The sequence below is a fragment of the Homo sapiens genome, chromosome 17 (assembly GCF_000001405.40).
Source record: "Homo sapiens chromosome 17, GRCh38.p14 Primary Assembly".
Classification (NCBI taxonomy): domain Eukaryota; kingdom Metazoa; phylum Chordata; class Mammalia; order Primates; family Hominidae; genus Homo; species Homo sapiens.
In genome coordinates, this window is record NC_000017.11 from 4,025,581 (window position 1) to 4,044,218 (window position 18,638).

General features: G+C 42.9%; 1 protein-coding gene across 8 annotated transcripts in view; it reads right to left on the reverse strand.

The window, feature by feature from the left end:
- The window catches only part of ZZEF1 (zinc finger ZZ-type and EF-hand domain containing 1), a 138,586-nt gene that overhangs the window by 21,136 nt on the left and 98,812 nt on the right, over nt 1-18,638 (reverse strand). For all 8 annotated transcript variants that reach the window (XR_007065288.1, NM_015113.4, XM_005256561.3 and 5 more), the window contains 4 exons: nt 16,849-16,988; nt 8,435-8,712; nt 7,248-7,422; nt 6,546-6,678 (listed from right to left, as the gene is read on the reverse strand). Coding sequence is in view for 7 of the 8 variants with exons in the window: in NM_015113.4 (NP_055928.3) it covers nt 6,546-6,678; nt 7,248-7,422; nt 8,435-8,712; nt 16,849-16,988 (726 nt within the window). In the remaining variant the exon portion in view is untranslated. The remainder of the gene's footprint in view (nt 1-6,545; nt 6,679-7,247; nt 7,423-8,434; nt 8,713-16,848; nt 16,989-18,638) is intronic.

An 18,638-nucleotide genomic window follows, 5' to 3' on the forward strand; every position in this document is an offset into this window, starting at 1 on the left:
CTGAGGCAGGAGAATCACTTGAACCCAGGAGGTGGAGGCTGCGGTGAGCCAAGATCATGCCATTGCATTCCAGCCTGGGTGACAGAGTCAGACTCCGTCTCAAAAAAAAAAAAAAAAATTAGTACACATGAGATTTCCATTTCCAAACAAGACAGAACAAGAGAGACTGGATTTACTCTCCCACCTTAAACAACCAGGACACTGAAAAAACATGAAACAATAGCTTGCAGATATTGGGCAAAAGGTAGTATAGGACTATGATCCCTGAGAGAAGGGATATAAACTAGATCCGCCCTCCAATAGCACCAGCTATCTGCAGACGATTTCCAAGCTGCAAAGTGGGAAGCAAACATCCAGGCAGAATCCAGCAGTCTCAATGAATTAAAGAAACAGAGATCAGAGTTCAGGGAGGTCAAGGCTGCTAGAATGTACAGGGCAGAATATCAGAGCAGGGAGATGCAGAGAGAGAGGGGTGGGTTGGGGAGAGCTCTCCGGAGATCCACAGAGTCACTCACGAGTCTGTGGCTGCATACTGACCTGCACATTTCTGTGAAAGGAAACTATCTGGGGCAGAAGAAAGAGCTACAGTAGACAGAACAATTCCTGGAGCTCACAGAGAGCTGGGAATACTTTGTCTTTCCAACAGTGAGAGTGGAAGTGTCCTAGTGGAGATGGGGGTGGGGGCAGAAAAAATATTTGAATACATAATGGTCAAAAATTTTCCAAATTTGATGAAAACTGTAAATCTAAGGAGCTCAATAAATACCTAAGCAGAAGAAACATAAAGAAAATCATGTCAAGGCACATGCATAATTGAATTGCTAAAAATATAGCCAGAGGAAAAAGAGACATTACAAAAATGTAGCAAAAGAAGAATGACAGCAGACTTCATCCCAGAATCTACACAAGCCAGAAGACAATAGACAAACATCTTTTTTTTTTCTTTTTTTTTTTTTTGAGACGGAGTTTTTGCTCTTGTCACCCAGGCTGGAGTACAATGACGTGATCTTGGCTGACTGCAACCTCCACCTCCCAGGTTCAAGTGATTCTCCTGCCTTGGCCTCCCAACTAGCTGGGATTACAGGTGTCCACCACACGCCCAGATATTTTTGTATTTTTAGTAGAGACGGGGTTTTACCATGCTGGCCAGGCTGGTCTCAAACTCCTGACCTCAGGTTATCGGCCTGCCTCAGCCTCCCAAAGTGCTGGGATTACAGGTGTGAGCCACCACACCCAGCCTTTAAAGTATTTAAGTACATCTTTAAAGTATTTGCTAAGATAAAACTCAGCTTAGAATTTTTTACCTGGCAAAATTATCTTTCAAAGATGAAGTAAAAAAAAGTCCCCCAGACAAACTGAGAGATTATGTCACGGCAGACCTGCACTATAAATAATGTTCAGCGCAGTTTTTCACGTCCCCCCACAAAACTAAAAAAGATCCCAGATGGAAAACTGAATCTTTACAAAGGAATGAAGAGCACTAGCAATGAAAAATAGATAGCTAAATATAAAAGCTAATGTTTTCTCATTTTAAAATCTCTTGAAATCTCTCTCTCTCTTGTTTTTTAGGGGGTGGTAGAAGACAGGGTCTTGCTGTGTTGCCCAGGCTGGCACTGAATTCCTGGCTTCAAGCTTTGTGATCCTGTCTTGCCTCCCAAAGTGCTGAGATTACAGGTATAAGACCTACGCACCCAGCAATATCTCACTTTTTTTTTTTTTTTTTTTTTTTTTTGAGAGAAGTCTCGCTCTTGTTCCCCAGGCTAGAGTGCAATGGCACAATCTTGGCTCACTGCAACCTCCGCCTCCCTGGTTCAAGTGATTATCCTGCCTCAGCCTCCCTAGCAGTTGGGATTACAGGCGCACACCACCACGTGTGGCTAATTTTTGTATTTTTAGTAGAGACGGGGTTTCACCATGTTGGCCAGGCTAGTCTCAAACTCCTGACCTCAAGTGATCAGCCCGCCTCGGCCTCCCAAAGTGCTGGGATTACAGGCATGAGCCACTGTGCCCTGCCTTTTTTTTTTTTTTTTTTTTAAAGAGACAGGCTCCTGCTCTGTCACCTAGGCTACAGTGCAGTGGCATGATCATAGCTCACTGCAGCCTTGATCTCCTCGGCTCAAGTGATCCTCCTGCCTCTGCATCCACAGCAGCTGGGATTACAGGTGTGTGTCACCACACCTGGCTTTCTAAAAAATTATTTTTAGTAGAGATGGGGTCTAGCTATGCTGCCCAGGCTGGCCCCAAACTCCTGGCCTCATCATCATTTATTTATTTATTTTTGTAGAGATAGAATTTTGCTATGTTGCCCAGGTTGATCTCAAACTCCTATCCTCCAGTCATCTTCCCACCTCACTCAGCCTCTCAGAGTGCTGGGTTATTTTGTTTTTCTTAATGATTTCATTTTATTTCCACTATTGGCTCTTTATCTTTTTGGGTTTTGTTGTGGTTGCTCTAGGATTTACAGTAGTGTACCTTCAAATAATTTCTTAAATGTTGTTCTAGGGTTTACACTGAACGCCTTTAACTTATCATAGTCTACCTTCAGATAATAGTATACCATTTCACATATAGTGTCAGAACATTACAACATTTTCCACTCCATTCTTTGTGCTGTTACACATTTTACTTCTATATGACATAAATCTCACAATACATTACATTTTTTTGCTTCAAAAAGTGAGATACTGGCCAGGCATGGTGGTTCACACCTGTAATCCCAGCAATTTGGGAGGCCAAGGCAGGCGAATCACCTGACTCAGGAGTTCAAGACCAGCCTGGCCAACATGACAAAACCCTATCTCTACTAAAAATACAAAAATTAGCTGGATGTAGTGGCAGATGCCTGTAATCCCAGCTACTTGGGAGGCTGAGGCAGGAGAACTGCTTGAACCCTGGGAGGTGGAGGTTGCAGTGAGCCGAGATCACACCACTGCACTCCAGCCTGGGTGATGGAGTAAGACTCTGTCTCCAAAAAAAAAAAAAAAAATCCTAAATTCAACCATCTTGATAACTGCAATAAATGTAAATGGTCTAAACACATCAATTAAAAGACAGGGATTATCAGATTGGATTTTTTAAAAAAAGACAAGAAATCCACTTTAAATGTAAAGACACAGGTAGGTTAAAGTGAAAAGATGTGAAACCCATGGATATGAAGGGCCAAGAGTATTTTTGATTTGAGTTTGGCTGAGCCTCTGGATGCAAAACCCACAGATATGAACAGCCAACTATAAGGGACTAATCCACGAATTTTGCTATCTGTGGGGAGTCCTGGAACCAATCCTCTGAGGATACTAAAGGATGACTACTCTATGCAAATGCTATTTTTAAAAATGCAAGAGAGGCTGTACGAATATTAGATTTCAGAATGAGGAATATCATTAGGGATAAAAAAGGGACATTTCATAAGAAAAAGAGAAACATACAATTACAGTTAGAAACTTCTATAGTCCTCTCTCAGGAATTGTTAGAACAAGTAGATAAAACATCAGTAAGGGCACAGAAGACTTGAATAACATTATCCATTGACTTGACCTAATTAACATCTATAGGATACTCCACCAACAACATAGTGCACATGCATTCTCTTCAAGTGTACATGGAAACTCCATGAAAACAGACCTAATTTTGGACAATAAAACAAATTGTAATAATATTCATAATAGGACTGAACTAATTAAAAATATGCTCTATGACCACAAGGGAATTAAACCTGAAATCAACAACCAAATGATATCTGGAATATCCCCCAAATATTAAGAAACTAAACATCAAACTTTTAAATAATCCACAGAGCAAAGAAAAAAAAAATCACAAGATAAATTGGAAAATATATTGTGACCTAAATGAAAATGACAATATATCATAAAAAAAAATTGTGAGATGTTCCTACTGAATCCAAGGGACACCGAAAAAGAAAAAAAAAATAGTGGATGTGGCTAAAGTCATACTTAAAAGGAAATGCACAACATTAAAATTCTTCTATTGCCAAGGAAGAAAGGTCTCAAATCAGTGATGGCTCCTACCTTAAGAAACCTGTAATCCCAGCACTTTGGAAGGCTGAGGCGGGTGGATCACTGAGGTCAGGAGTTCGAGACCAGCCTGACCAACATGGTAAACCCTGTCTCTACTAAAAATACAAAAATTAGCCGGGCATAGTGGCATGTGCCTGTAATCTCAGCTACTCAGGAGGCTGAGGCAGGAGAATCACTTGAACCCAGGAGGTGGAGGTTGCATTGAGCTGAGATCATGCCAATGCACTCCAGCCTGGGCAACAAGAGCAAAACTCCATCTCAAAAAAAAAAAAAAAAAAAAAGACAGAAACCAGAAAAGCAGCCAGGTGTGGTAACTCATGCCTGTTATCCCAGCACTTTGGGAGGCTAAGGCAGGAGGATCACCTGAGCCCAGCAGTTTGAGATCAACCTGGGCAACATGCTGAGATCCTATTAAAAAAAAAAAAAAAGAAAAGAAAAGAAACCGGAAAAGCAGTAACAACACATTAAACACAAAGCCAGAAGAAATAAGGAAATTTATCTGGGCAGTAATCAAAGAAACAGCAAACAGAAATAAAAGAAAAATGAATGATACCAAAGTTGGTCCTTTGAAAAGATCAAATAACTTGACAGATCTCTGGCTAGACTATCTAGGAAACAAAAAGAGAAGACATAAATTGCCACAATCAGAAAATAAGAGAAGACGGCTCATACCCCAATATGCCAGGCTGAGAGAAATTAAAGAAACCTAAATTTATTCTCTAAATAAACTGAATGATGTACCATGCACTCAATATAGAAGTCCCTGACTTACAATGGTTCAACGTAATGATTTTTCAACCTTTATAATGGGTTTATCAGGACATAACCCCATTATAAACTGAGGAACATCTGTCTGGTTAAGGTATTGTCCCAAATTAATCTATAGATTTGATGCAATGCCAATCAAAATCCCAGAAGGCCATATACTTTTCTGAGACAGGGTCTTGCTCTGTTGCCCAGGCTATAGTGGAGATCACAGCTCACTGCAGGTGATCCTCCCACATCAGCCTCCCAGGTAGCTGGGACTACAGCATGCCACCACGCCTGGCTACTTATTTTATGTAGTGATGGGGGTCTCTACAAAGTGCTGGGATTTCAGGTGTAAGCGACTGCGCCTGGCTCCTGCAGGCTCTTTTATAGAAACTGATAGAAACTCTTTTATAGAAGCTGATTCTAAAACTTACACAAAAAGACAAAGAAACTAGAAGAGTCAAAACAATTCTGAAAAAGAGCAAAGCTGAAAGACCTGATTTCAAAATTTTATACAAATTTAAAATAGTCTGGCCAGATGTGGTTGCTCATGCCTGTAATCCCAGCACTTTGGGAGGCTGAGACAGGTGGATCACTTGAGGTCGGGAGTTTGAGACCAGCCTGGCCAGCATGGTGAAACCCCATCTCTACTAAAAATACAAACGTTAGGCTGGGCGCAGTGGCTCATGCATGTAATCCCAGCACTTTGGGAGGCCAAGGCAGGCAGATCACCTGAGGTCAGGAGTTTGAGACCAGCCTGGCCAATAGGGTAAAATCTCATCTCTACTAAAAATACAAAAAATTAGCCAAGTGTGGTGGTACGTGCCTGTAATCCCAACTACTTGGAAGGCTGAGGCAGAAGAATCGCTGGAACCCAGGAGGCGGAGGTTGCAGTGAGCTGAGATCGTGTCACCGCACTCCAGCCTGGGCAACAGAGTGAGACTTGGTCTCAAAAATAAATAAATAAATAAATAAATAAATAAATAAATTTACAATAGTAAAAAAAGTGTAGTACTGAAGTAAGGACATATAGATTAATGAAACATAATAGAATCCATAAATAGACAGATACATGTGTGTCAATTTTCGACAAGATTCCAAGATAATTGGATGGAGAAAGGATGGCCTGTTCAACAAATGGTCCTGGATCAAATGGATGTTCATACGCAAAAGAAAAGATCTTAGACATTTACATACACGAAAACAGCACAGACACTGCCTAATGCTGATGCTGAGTGAAAATGCAGATGGCTTCACGAGCAGAACTGGGAATGTAATGGGTAGATACTCCAGATTGCCTGGGCCTTGGCAAACTAAGTCAAAAGGGCATTTGTGATATAATACTTTCAATGTTATACTGATAAAACAAAATGGAAAGTTACATGAATTCTAATACAATTATTTTAAGTGCAGCCACCTGACTCCATGTAGTCACCTGACTCCAAAATATGTTTAAATTACCCATAGAAAGCAAATGACACCAGCAAATGGAGAAATTAAATGTTCAGAACCTATATATCTAGCCAACCAAAAAACACAGAGCCATATACACAAAAAGACAGCATGGAAAGGGGCCTTTGAAATTATCCCAATTCAATACATCATTTCAGAAATAAGGAAAAAGAAGCTCGGGGAGCTATAACTTGTTCTTTAAAAAAATCACACGCAGGCCAAGAGCCAAGGTAATTTCATTGATTTTAGGGTACGGAGGGATTAGGCATTTTTCTTCCATTCTTAGAAAAAAATAATTACGCATGGTACCTGTTTTCCTCTTCCGAGTTTTGACATCAACAATCACAGCCCTGTTCTTCTCAGTAAAGTGCTTCAAGATGATCACATTATGGGGTTCATTGGCATTATCCATATAAACGCAGCGGGTTCCCACACAGAGGACCTAGAACGTGGTAGACAGAGACAGAAAGGCAACTCAAACATGGAGACAAGAAAGAATTCTTAGGCATAAGCCCAGCCCCCTTTGATTGTGCCTCTGATTTCAACAAGCACGCAAGGATAGGGATCTTCTCATCTCTAAGTCCAAAGAGTCTGCCACAGGCTGGCACAGAATTGGTTTAAGTCCTTGCTGGATGAGGCCATGTTTTTACAGCCCCCTTTGTCCTAATCAGTTGAGGGACATGAAGATTAGAAATAAGGTCAAGGTGAATGCCAAAATGAAAGACAATTTTCTTTGAAGTTCTTTGTAATCTGATATATTACAGTCACCTATTATTCAAAGCCAACTACTGGCTATAAATGAATCAAATGTTTAACCGTTAAAAATGCAAGTTGAATAAACCATCCCATAATCTTGACAATACTTCAATACTACAAAAGCAAGGTGTACAGGCAAAGGAAAAAGCTTCCAAAGAGATCTATGCCTATATATCCGGAAGCCACAGAGGCTTTGGTGTGTATAGTGAAGACTGGAAGGGGTGACCAGGCCCTCAGGCCTTCAGAGTGTGGTACCTGGGGGAAGCCAACCAGCACGAGCAGGGTGAAGATGTTGGTGTGCTTCAGCTGGAATGGCAGCTGCTTGATGCAGTGGTCTGTGAAGGTGGCAATGACATCACGCCACAGTGGGGCACTGTTGAGTGACCGCAGGATCTCTGCCATGGAGCACGCCCAGTCCAAGCCCACCCGGCTGGAAGGCAAGAGCTCCATTAGGGGCAGTACACAGGGCTCCAAACTCAACTCGTTAGAGCTCACTACACTCCAAGGCAGACCCAGAAGCCTTCAAAGAGCCATTCATTAACTAGCTTAAAAACTACCAGAATAATGCTTTTCGTATAATGGTGAGTAAAAGAGCAAACAAAATCAAGACTTGTTACTTACATACTCACCCTACGGCTGTGTTTCCAAAAATATCTATAAAAATCACCTGTGTGTGTGCACATGCACACTCATATTCAAACACAGAAGAAAATGTAGTGAGACAGCACCAGATGTATTAAAATGGTGCAAGTCAGGGTGACTTTTTTCCTTCTTTTATTATTATTATTTTTTTGAGACGGAGTCTTGCTCTGTCGTCCAGGCTGGGGTGTAATGGCGCGATCTCTGCTGACCGTAACCTCCGCCTCCTGAGTTCAAGTGATTCTCCTGCCTCAGCTTCCGGAGTAGCTGGGATTACAGGCACACGCCACCATGTCCGGCTAATTTTCTTTGTATTTTTAGTAGAGACAGGGTTTCACTATGTTGGCCAGGCTGGTCTCGAACTCCTGACCTCGTGATCCACCAGCCTCAGCCTCCCAAAGTGCTGGGATTACAGATGTGAGCCACCGTGCCCAGCTTATTCCTTCATTTCTGTTTTCCAAATTTGGTGTTGTGGTTATGTTACTTTTACAACGAAAACAGATTTATTTGCTTCAACCTCAAGGCCCACACTTACCGCTCATTAAAAACAGAATATGCCTCATTAGAGAGTTGAATCAGCAGCCAGTGTCGAGACTGCTCAGCTGTTTTAACGTTGGTGTTAAGCACAGTTTTAATGTGGGTTGACAGCATTGCTCATGAACCTAATTCTATTTCCACAAAACTCTCAGACAACACAACTGTAGCACACCGAAATTAATCAACAGCCAGACCTTCAACTTAAACAAATAAACACCAAGGTGGGATAGAGGGCAGGTGGTTAGAGGAGCGAGGACCAAGGCTACCTGTCCAGACACACAGCTCCCAGGCTAAAGAGCAGGTGGGTGGTTTTCCAGCCATCTGGCACAATGGAACTGTCCCCTGCAGCAAACAGGTTGTGTTTGGCTGAGAGGACTTTGATCACTGCGGCGTCTACCTCTGCTGGCAAAAGACGGATAATTAACTGGCCGAGAAGACCCAGGGTGAGATGGTAGGTTTCATTCAGGTGGCCTGCGTTTGAGATGACAACCTGAAACATGAGTGGAAGGACGTGCTCCAGGTCTATCAGGGGAACCGTGGGGCCCTGCCAAGAGAGGGAGAGAAATCTGTTCAGTACAAAATCCACATAACCAAACTTGCTAAATATTATATCTCCCTCCTACCTTATTTACAGCTGGCCTAGTGCTAACGGAATCATGCTTGTAGCTTTCATAAATGCCATATGTATAATCACTTACAAAATAAACATCCTCAGCTCTCATCTTACAATCCTACTTCTAATATTTCTTTACCCTGAAAAAGAAACTTAAAATACTTGGTTTCCCCCTCACCTTTCAAAATGTCCATTGTAAAATAATTTAAATAATTCAGAAACACGCAAAAGTTAAAGCTCCCCTAAATCCCCTCCCTGCAACCATGGCCAGGAGATAACAACTGTTAAGTGTGATGAATAGTCTTTCAACCTTTTTCTATGCATATTTATTTACACATGATATATGTAAAATAGGCCAGGCATAGTGACTCACACCTGTAATCCCAGCACTCTGGGAGGCCAAGGCGGGAGAGTCACTCAAGCCCAGGAGTTCAAGACCAGCCTGGGCAACATAGTGAGACCCTGTATCTACAAAAAATACAAAAAATTAGCCAGGCATAGTGGTACGTGCCTGTAGTCCCAGCTACTTGGGAGGCTGAGGTGAGAGGATTGCTTGAGCCCAGGAGGTGGAGGCTGCAGTGAGCCATGGTCATGCCAACTGCACTCCTGCCTGGGTGACAGAGTGAGACTCCGTCTCAAAAAACAAACAACATGTCTGTGTGTGTATATATATATATTTGTGTATGTATGTATATGTAAAATAAATTTAAAATTTTAAATAGTTGTTTTTCTTTCTTTAAATAGTGTCTTGCAACTTATTAATACTTTGTTTCCAGTTCTTCATTATTATAAAAACCATTCAGCTAAACGGCCTGGTACAAACATTTCTATACTTATACCATTTGTTATTTTCCACAGGAAAAAAATGCACAAAACCGAAGAAAGCTTTTACAATGTCTGAGTTGTTATCCTCAGTGTGACTCAAGAGGGCACTATATCCATAGTATGAAAACAAAGCAATCAAAGAACAAAAAGTTCTTGGAAATAAAAAGTGATTCTCAAGAAGGCGTCTTTCTGACATGGCAGCCTGGGAGGGGTGTCACAGTCCAAGAACTCAGAAGGCATCTAGGCAGGGGGTTGGTCTGGTGGAGGCCACATGGTGTCAGAACCCAAGCAGGGTATGGAATTTCCATGGAGAAGGTCTGGCAGAGGAGTCAGAGCACAGGTGGCTGAGGAAGTCACCCAAGCCCAGGAATGCCCAGGCCTCTGGAGTTGGAGCTTGGGCTCCGAGTGAGGTGAGGAGGGCAAAAACGCAGAAGAGCAGCCTGATGTGAGTGTCCGAACCTAAGTGGAGAGGTGAGGGCATCTGCGCGGGGAGTTCACCCTCACACAGGGGCTCAGAGTCCAAACAGCATAAGGAGAGTGTTGCCACTGAGTAGCAGCCTGTTGCGGGTGAGGGTCGTCTCACTGCAAGGGGGCAACCTGGATTAGAGAGACAGACCCAAGTGTGGTGGGGAGGTATCCATGTCAAGAGTCCACTGTAATCCCAGCACTTTGGGAGGCCAAGGCAGGGGGATTACCTGAGGTCAGGAGTTCAAGGCCAGCCTGGCCAACATGGTGAAACCCTGTCCCTACTAAACATATAAAAATTAGCCGGGTGTAGTGGTTGGCGCCTGTAATTCCAGCTACTCAGGAGGCTGAGACAGGAGAATCGCTTGAACCGGGGAGGCAGAGGTTGCAGTGAGCCGAGATTGCACCACTGCACTACAGCCTGTCCAAAAAAAAAAAAAAAAAGAGTCGAAACAAGGAAAGGAGGACACCTCAAAAGAAGAACAGCAGCAGAGATGTGAGACTGATCCAGTAGGTAATTATACGAAGGATGATGGGATCCAGGATTCTCACCGTTAAAGACTGGATTCTTTAAATCAGGGTTTCTCAACCTCAGTGCTACTGAAATTTAGGTCTGATAATTCTCATGTGTGTGTGGGGTAAGTGGCACCTGTGCATTTAAAAATGTTTACCAGCAATTCCTATAGTGTAGACTCCGCTAGAATTCCAGGAGCATTCCCTGAGTTGTGACAGTCAAAAATGTCTCAAGGCACTGTCAAATAGCCATATTGGATACCTTCAGTTTGAGAATCACTGCTCTAAGGCCGGGCGCGGTGGCTCACGCCTGTAATCCCAGCACTTTGGGAGGCCGAGGTGGGTGGATCACCTGAGGTCAGGAGTTCAAGACCAGCCTGACCAACATGGTGAAACCTCATCTCTACTAATACAAAAATTAGCCAGGCGTGGTGGCACGTGCCTGTAATCCCAGCTACTAGGAAGGCTGAGGCAGGAGAATCACTTGAACCGGGAGGCGGAGGTTGCAGTGAGCAGAGATTGCACCACTGCACACCAGCCTGGGCGACAAGAGGGAAACTCCATCTTCAAAAAAAAAAAAGAGAATCACTGCTCTAAATAAATATATAGAATACACACACACACACACACACACACACACACACACACACACACTCTCTCTCTCTCTCTCTCTCTCTCTCCCCGCACCCCGCCCGCCCGCACTGGGAAGACTGGGGAGCAGTGACACCCTGTTAGCAATGAACCCACCTAGTGCTCAAGCCATTTCAACATACTATCCTCTACCAAAAGGAATGAGGTCACCTTAGAGAAATGGCTGATTCTAGGGCTAGGGGAGGGAGAATTTAAGAAGTGCTGAAATGATGGGGATATGTCAAAAGGACACAGAAGTCAGCGGGAATGGGTTCCCACTGGTCAAAATAAGTAATCAGAATAATGGATTATAGCTCATGGAGTAAAACAGGAAATCATGAACCCATACTGATATAACTAACTAAATAAATAAATTGTTTGATGAGAAACAGGATATTTACATAGTTTCAAAGACTCTCCCCACTAAATATTTACTAATAACAAAAGTGGAAAGATTATGGTAGAAAAGGCTAATGGACACCACTTAATCCAGTGATCAAAGTAAACATGATCAGTAATGAAATACGTCAAAACTGTGTTCCACCTGACAGGCTGCAATGAGAATGCAGCATCTCATCTGTGATTTTCCTGCCCAAGAGGCAAAGCCTGAATCTAATTATGAGGAGACATCTGATAAACTCCAACCCCAAAGAGGAGGACATTCCACACAATAGGTGGCCTGTGATCTTCAAAAGCTCATGATCACGAAAGTAAAGACTGATAACTGTTAAAGACTAGAGGTGATTAAAAGACATGACAACAAACTGCTACACGTTCATTCTTTTTCTTTTTCTTTTCTTTTTTTAAGAGACAGAGTCTTACCCTATTGCCCAAACTGGAATGCAGAGGTGCAACCTTGGCTCCCTATGACTTCGACCTCCTGGGCTCGAGTGATCCTCCTGCCTCAGCCTCCCAAGTAGCTGAGACTATAGGTGTGTGCCACCATGCCTGGTTAATTTTTCTATTTTTTTGTAGATAGAGTCTTGCTATGTTTCCCAGGCTGGTCTCGAACTCCTGGGTTCAAGCAACCCTCCTACTTGGTCTCCCAAAGTGCTGGGATTACAGATTCAAGGCACTGTGCCTGGCCTATACATTAATTCTGATCCTCCTGCCATAAAAGACACTTTTGGAGCAAACTAGTGAAACTTGAGTAGGGAGTAAGCATTAGATGGCAGCAATGTACTGATGTTAATTTCTCTGACTTTGATGACTGCTGTCTGGTTACACAGGAGAATCTCCTTGTTTGTAGAAAACACACACTAACATATTTAGAAGTAATATGGCATGAACTTGGCAACTTTCAGGCATAAAATTATTTGTATAGTACTTTTAACTTTTACATAAGTTTGTAATTATTTCTAAATTTGAGAGGATATGGAGCAAATAAAGCTTTCATGTGCTGCCGTGGGAGTGTGAACCGGTACAAACATTGCAGAAACTGTTTGGCAGGGAGTGTGAACTGGTACAAACAACGGCAGAAACTGTTTGGCAGGCCAAGTTTGGCCTGCATTCAGATGCTCATCAAAAGCCACAGACAGGTGTGCTCATAGTATTGTCTGGAGTAATTTCCAGTTTAGAAACACTTAACAATAGTAACGTGAACTTTAAAATTATGGCATATTCATATAATGGAATTCTGGATAACAGTGAAAATGAATAAAGGAAACTAATCACAATAACATGGATGCATCTCACAAACATAATGTTGAGCAGAAGAAGCCAGACACAGGCCGGGCGCAGCGGCTCACGCCTGTCATTCCAGCACTTTGGGAGGCCGAGGTGGGTGGATCACTGGAGGCCAGGAGTTCAAGACCAGCCTGGCCAACATGGTGAAACCCCGGCTCTACTCAAAATATAAAAATTAGCTGGGTGTGGTGGCACATTCCTGTAGTCCCAGCTACTTGGGAGGCTGAGGCACGAGAAATCACTTGAACCCGGGAGGCAGAGGCTGCAGTGAGCCGAGATTGCTCCACTGCACTCCAGCCTGGGCAACAGAGCAAGACTCTGTCTCAAAAAACAAACAAACAAACAAACAAACAAACAAAAAACCACCACCACCAGGCAAGAGGAATGCAGCGACTTACTCCAGCTATACAAAGTTTCAAAACAAGCAAAACTAACCTATGGTGACAGAGGTCTTTTTATTACTGGGTTGTAAGAGTTCTTTATATATTCCTTATAGGACTCTATCTAGGCAGTTTTTACACTAAAATCAAACTAATAATTTGCCCTCCAAAGTGCCTGCTAAAAAAAAAAGATTATTAGGGGAAAATAACCTCAGTGGTGATTTTAAAAAGTCAACTTAATGAAATCTCTCAGAACAAGAGATAAACATGAAAAATACAACCAAACTGAAGAAAAGATGGAGGGTAGATTCAAGGGGTCCATCCTGGCCAGGCGCAGTGGCTCACGCCTGTAATCCCAGCACTTTGGGAGGCTGAGGTGGGCAGACTGCTTGAGATCGGCAGTTCTAGACCAGCCTGTCCAACACAGTGAAACCCCATCTCTACTAAAAAAACACAAAAATCAGCTGGGCATGGTGGCATGCGCCTGTAATCCCAGCTACTCGGGGGGCTGAGGCACAAGGATCGCTTGAACCCAGGAGGTGGAGGTTGCAGTGAGCTGAAATCGCACCACTGAACTCCAGCCTGGGGGACAGAGTGAGACACCATCTCAAACAAACAAACAAACAAACAAACAAATCCGCCCTGCATCCAGGAGATGCAAATGGGGCAGACACAGAAGCAAAGCCAAACAATGGCAGAAAGGCATTTCCTTAGCTGAAGTAAAAATGGAGTTTTTAATCAGAAAAGCAAATGATGCTGGGAAGGCACATAGAAAGAGAACTTTTTTTTTTTTTTTTTTTTGAGACAGAGTCTCACTCTGTCGCCCAGGCTGGAGTGCAGTGGCACAATCTCGGCTCACTGCAACCTCCGCCTCCCGGGTTCACGCCATTCTCCTGCCTCAGCCTCCCGAGTAGCTGGGACTACAGGCGCCCGCCACCACGCCTGGCTAATTTTTTTGTATTTTTAGTTGAGATGGGGTTTCACTGTGTTAGCCAGGATGGTCTCGATCTCCTGACCTCATGATCTGCCCGCCTTGGCCTCCCAAAGTGCTGGGATTACAGGCGTGAGCCACCGTGCCCAGCCGAGAACATCTTTTTAAAAATTATTTTACAAAATCTTTCTCACAGAGATAATATTTATTTTGACACGGTCTAATGAAACGTCTGAATTCCAAGGGTTAAAAAAAGAAAATATTTAGGCAAAAAAAATCAGTTGATATCATGTTAATACTGGACTTCTCATCGGTTGTTCTAGATGGTGGAAGACTATGCAGCAATGTCACAGGGGTCCGGATGAAAAGGACTGTGTCCCTGTAATTCCACACCCAGACTGTCTCCCATCTTTACCTGTAGCCTTTCCTCAAAAAGTACTTGAGGAAGTATTCTAGCGCAACAAAAAATGAATTAGAGTAAATAATTCAGAAGGAAGAAATAGTAACTAATAAATAACATGCAGCCAACACACTGTAACTATCAATCATTAATTACCATATGGTCTAAAATTCTAAAAGTAGTTTGAGAGAGGCAAAATCCAAAAGATACAACAAAAAACTCCAAAGCAGCCAACCAACCAAGTGATCCAGAGCTAAAATTACAGATAATTTGCACACTTGGGATATGATGAGGGAAATAAAAGCATCTCATCTTGTCAAGGAATAAAAGGTCTCACTTTATTCGGAAGAGAAGGTAAAAAGGTTACACTGTTAATTAAGAGAGAAATACAGGCTGAAAAAAGTGGGTAAAAATTTAACTATAACCATGTTTCTATAAGAAATATGACACAGACTTCATGAATGATTACAAAAAAAGGAGAAAATAACTTAGGAAGGGGCAGGGAAAAATGTTCATTGGAGCAGGGCTGGGATGGGGACAGTCGGCTGGCACAGAGCAGTTAACCAGGTCATCCCATCAGAAGTAAGCTGGCTGGCCGTAACACACATGGTTATAACATAGCTGAGATCCAGTCAGGAAAAGGTCACTCTTACAGTGAAATTGGTAAAATCAACATAAAAAGGCTAAGAGCCAATTGCAGAAGGGCCCTACCCCAAGAGATGGTTGCTCAACGTGCTACCCAGTGAGCTATGGAAAAGGTGCAGCTCTAATTGACACAGAGGCAGCTGAGGCAGCTAAAGTTAGCAGAAATCAGTCATGGCTATTAAGAGAGAACAAAGGCTCCGGCTGATGTGCCTGCTCAGCCTCCAAAGGTTGGGGAGGGCAGGCAAAGACCAGGATAGTGACTGCACTGTCCAAGCCTGAGGGTACTGATTTCAGAGGTGAATTACCAGCTACCTAGACAGGTCCGGCCAATTCATCCAGGTGAAGAAAAACACATCTTCAAAATATCCTGTTCTCCTCATTCTAGTTCCACGTGCACCATACAACCTTCTGAGCTACAGTGTGGTCTTCTGGAGGGATTTCCATACCAAGAGGGAACACATAATGATTTTCCTGCCAGACGCATACCCCTGTGAATTGTGACTGATTTATAAATCAGCCTCAACTCCCACGTAGAAGTTCACGTAAAAATGCTCCTCTGAGTCTGAGCATCTCCAGGCAAACTGCTAAAAAAAAAAAGTCCTTGGACTCAAAAATCTGAGGACCAAACCTTGGGTCCCGCGGGCACCGTCCCTTCCCCAAAGTCCTGCCAACTTGGAAAATCCTGTTTCAGCAGCCTGCTAGCTTTGTCTCTGATTCCTCTCTGTTTACTAGAAAAAGTGGGAGACTACTGTAAAGATTGTCAGCTATTCCTAAATTAATAAATAAATTCATTATCAGCTCAGTGAAAAAGCTAACAGGATCTCTTCTTTAATATGATAAAAATGACACTAAAGTTCATATGGAAAAAATATATTTACAGGAACAGTCTAGAAAATTATGCAAAAGAATAACGAAGGCATACCTAAACTGTTCAGGGTCTTTAAAATGTCAATGTTTTGAAAATTTAAAAAAAGGCAAGGGAAGCAGATTAAAGACAAAGTCAGCATGACATCTAAATACAACGGAATTTTTAAGAGGATCCTGATTTAAAAAAAAAACCTGTAAGGGACATTTTGGGGATAATTGGGAATATCTGTATTTAGGCTATATGTATAAAACTATTCTATCAATGCTAAAAACTGTAAGCATAATAATGACATTGTGGTTATATAGGAGAATGTACTTTAAGGAGAGAAGTATTGAGGGTGAAGTGTCAATGATGGCTTCAACTCATTTTCAAAAGTTCAGGAAAAAAATATAAACAGAGATAAAGCAAAATATTAACAACTGGTGAATCTAGGTGAAGACCTTCATTCATTGTTCTTTGAAGTTTTCTATGAGCTTAAAACTTTTCAAAATAAAAAGGTAGAAAAAAATCATTATAAGCATTATATATAAATATATTGTTTTATACACACACACACATATATATTTACAAAATATAGGAAGGGTCAGAAGAAAATAATTATAACTTCTAATCCTACCCTTAAGGCTACAGAGATGATTGTCATCATTTGTTTCAGTATGTGGCTTTCCAAAACCTTCTTCTATGCATACCACCACCCCCACTTTTAAAAATAAATTGCCCTTACCGACTTTAAGGGAGGTAACATGGCTGCTAGTAATCCCAAAATCCTCTTCTGGGAACACTCAGCAAACACTTGCTCAGGGCTTGGAGTAACTGCTTTTTCCTCTATGGGCTTCTGAGATGACACTTCTGAATCTTCAGCATCTAAGTGGTAAAACAAACTTTCAGAATTTGCCTGCATCTCCACATGTATGAAGAGGCAAGTAAACCACTGCACTGTCCCCTGTGCTGCTACGGAATAAAGCTGGGATTTTATTCATTTATTTTTTAAATTTGAGAGGGAGTCTCACTCTGTTGCCCAGGCTGCAGTGCAATGGCACAATCTCGGCTCACTGCAACCTCCACCTCCCGGGTTCAAGCAATTCTCCTACCTCAGCCTCCCAAGTAGCTGGGATTACAGGCGTGCGCCACCTTGCTCAGCTAATTTTTGTATTTTTAGTAGAGACGGGGTTTCACCATGTTGGCCAGGCTGGTCTCGAACTCTTGACCTCAAGTGATCCGCCCACCTTGGCCTCTCAAAGTGCTGGGATTACAGGCCTGAGCCACTGCTCCCGGCCTAAAGCTGGGATTTTAAAAGCCTATGGCTGGGCATGTCTGCGCTCAGCTGTTTCCTTCTCCAGGAGGCCTGCCTGAGCCCTGTTTAAATGAAAGACTGTCCTCCCAGAGCTCTCTTACCCCCGCCCTCCCCATCTCCCTGAGCCTGCTCTGCTGTGCTCACAGCATTTCATCACCTTTTCACATTCCACATAATTTATATTTATTGTTTACTGTCTGCCTTCTTTCAGATTTTTGTTTCTTTCAGTGATGTATCTCAAGCACCTAGAGGTGTTTCTGGAGCATGGCAGGTACTTAATACTTGATGAATGAATAAACTGCCTATGAACCAGGATGCTGATCCTCAGGGGAATGAGACTCCAGTGAATTTTGATGATTTGGATTGATGTGGAGTGTCAGACTGTTTTCTGGAACTCAGAATTATACACACTGCATAGATAAGCATCAGATAGAGAGGGCAGAAGGCCAGGTGCTCACCCCGCCATCACAGAGCAGGAAGGTGGGGAAGATCCTGCACTCCTGGGCCACCATAAGGAGGAGGCTGGGACTTGCCTCCAGTCTCCTGAGCCCACAGCATGCTCCTCAATCCTCCTAAGCCAGCTCTGACCTTGCTGCTGCTATCCTCTGGCAGGCTGAGGCCTTCAGCAGCATCTCTCCTTTATCATCCTCTAGTGTTCCACTCCATCCCTACACACCTGCCAAGAGGGACTTCTCTACTTTAGGGCCTTTGCTCCTGTTGGCCTTTCTTCTCCGAACGCCCATCCCTATTGCAGATCCTAGCACATTCAAGGTCCCCTAGATCTCTTCCTCTCTAAAGCTTTATGAGGATACAGTCTGCCCCAGAGAGACACCAATCACTGTCAACACCCACTTACACCTCATTCCGCCTCAAATTACAGTTACCTGCACCTGTGTCTTAAGCCCTCCTAGACTGTGAGCTCCATGAGGGCAGGAACCACATGTCTATCTGTCTGATTCAGTCCCTGTTTCATCCCCAAGGTCTAGCACTGTGTTTGGCATATAGAAAGCACTTAGTAAATACAGGAAATAAATAAGGTAGGAAAGCAGTCAAAGTGAAGAAAGATGACATTCGAGGTGTCATCAGCACCATCTGAACAGAACTGAGAAACCACGCACCCCTGGCGTCTAGCCAATGTCAAGCTGTGTGCCACAAACAGCTCAGGGATGGGTATATGTGCATTTTAAGATGAAAGAGATGAAGATAATGGTCAAATAGTC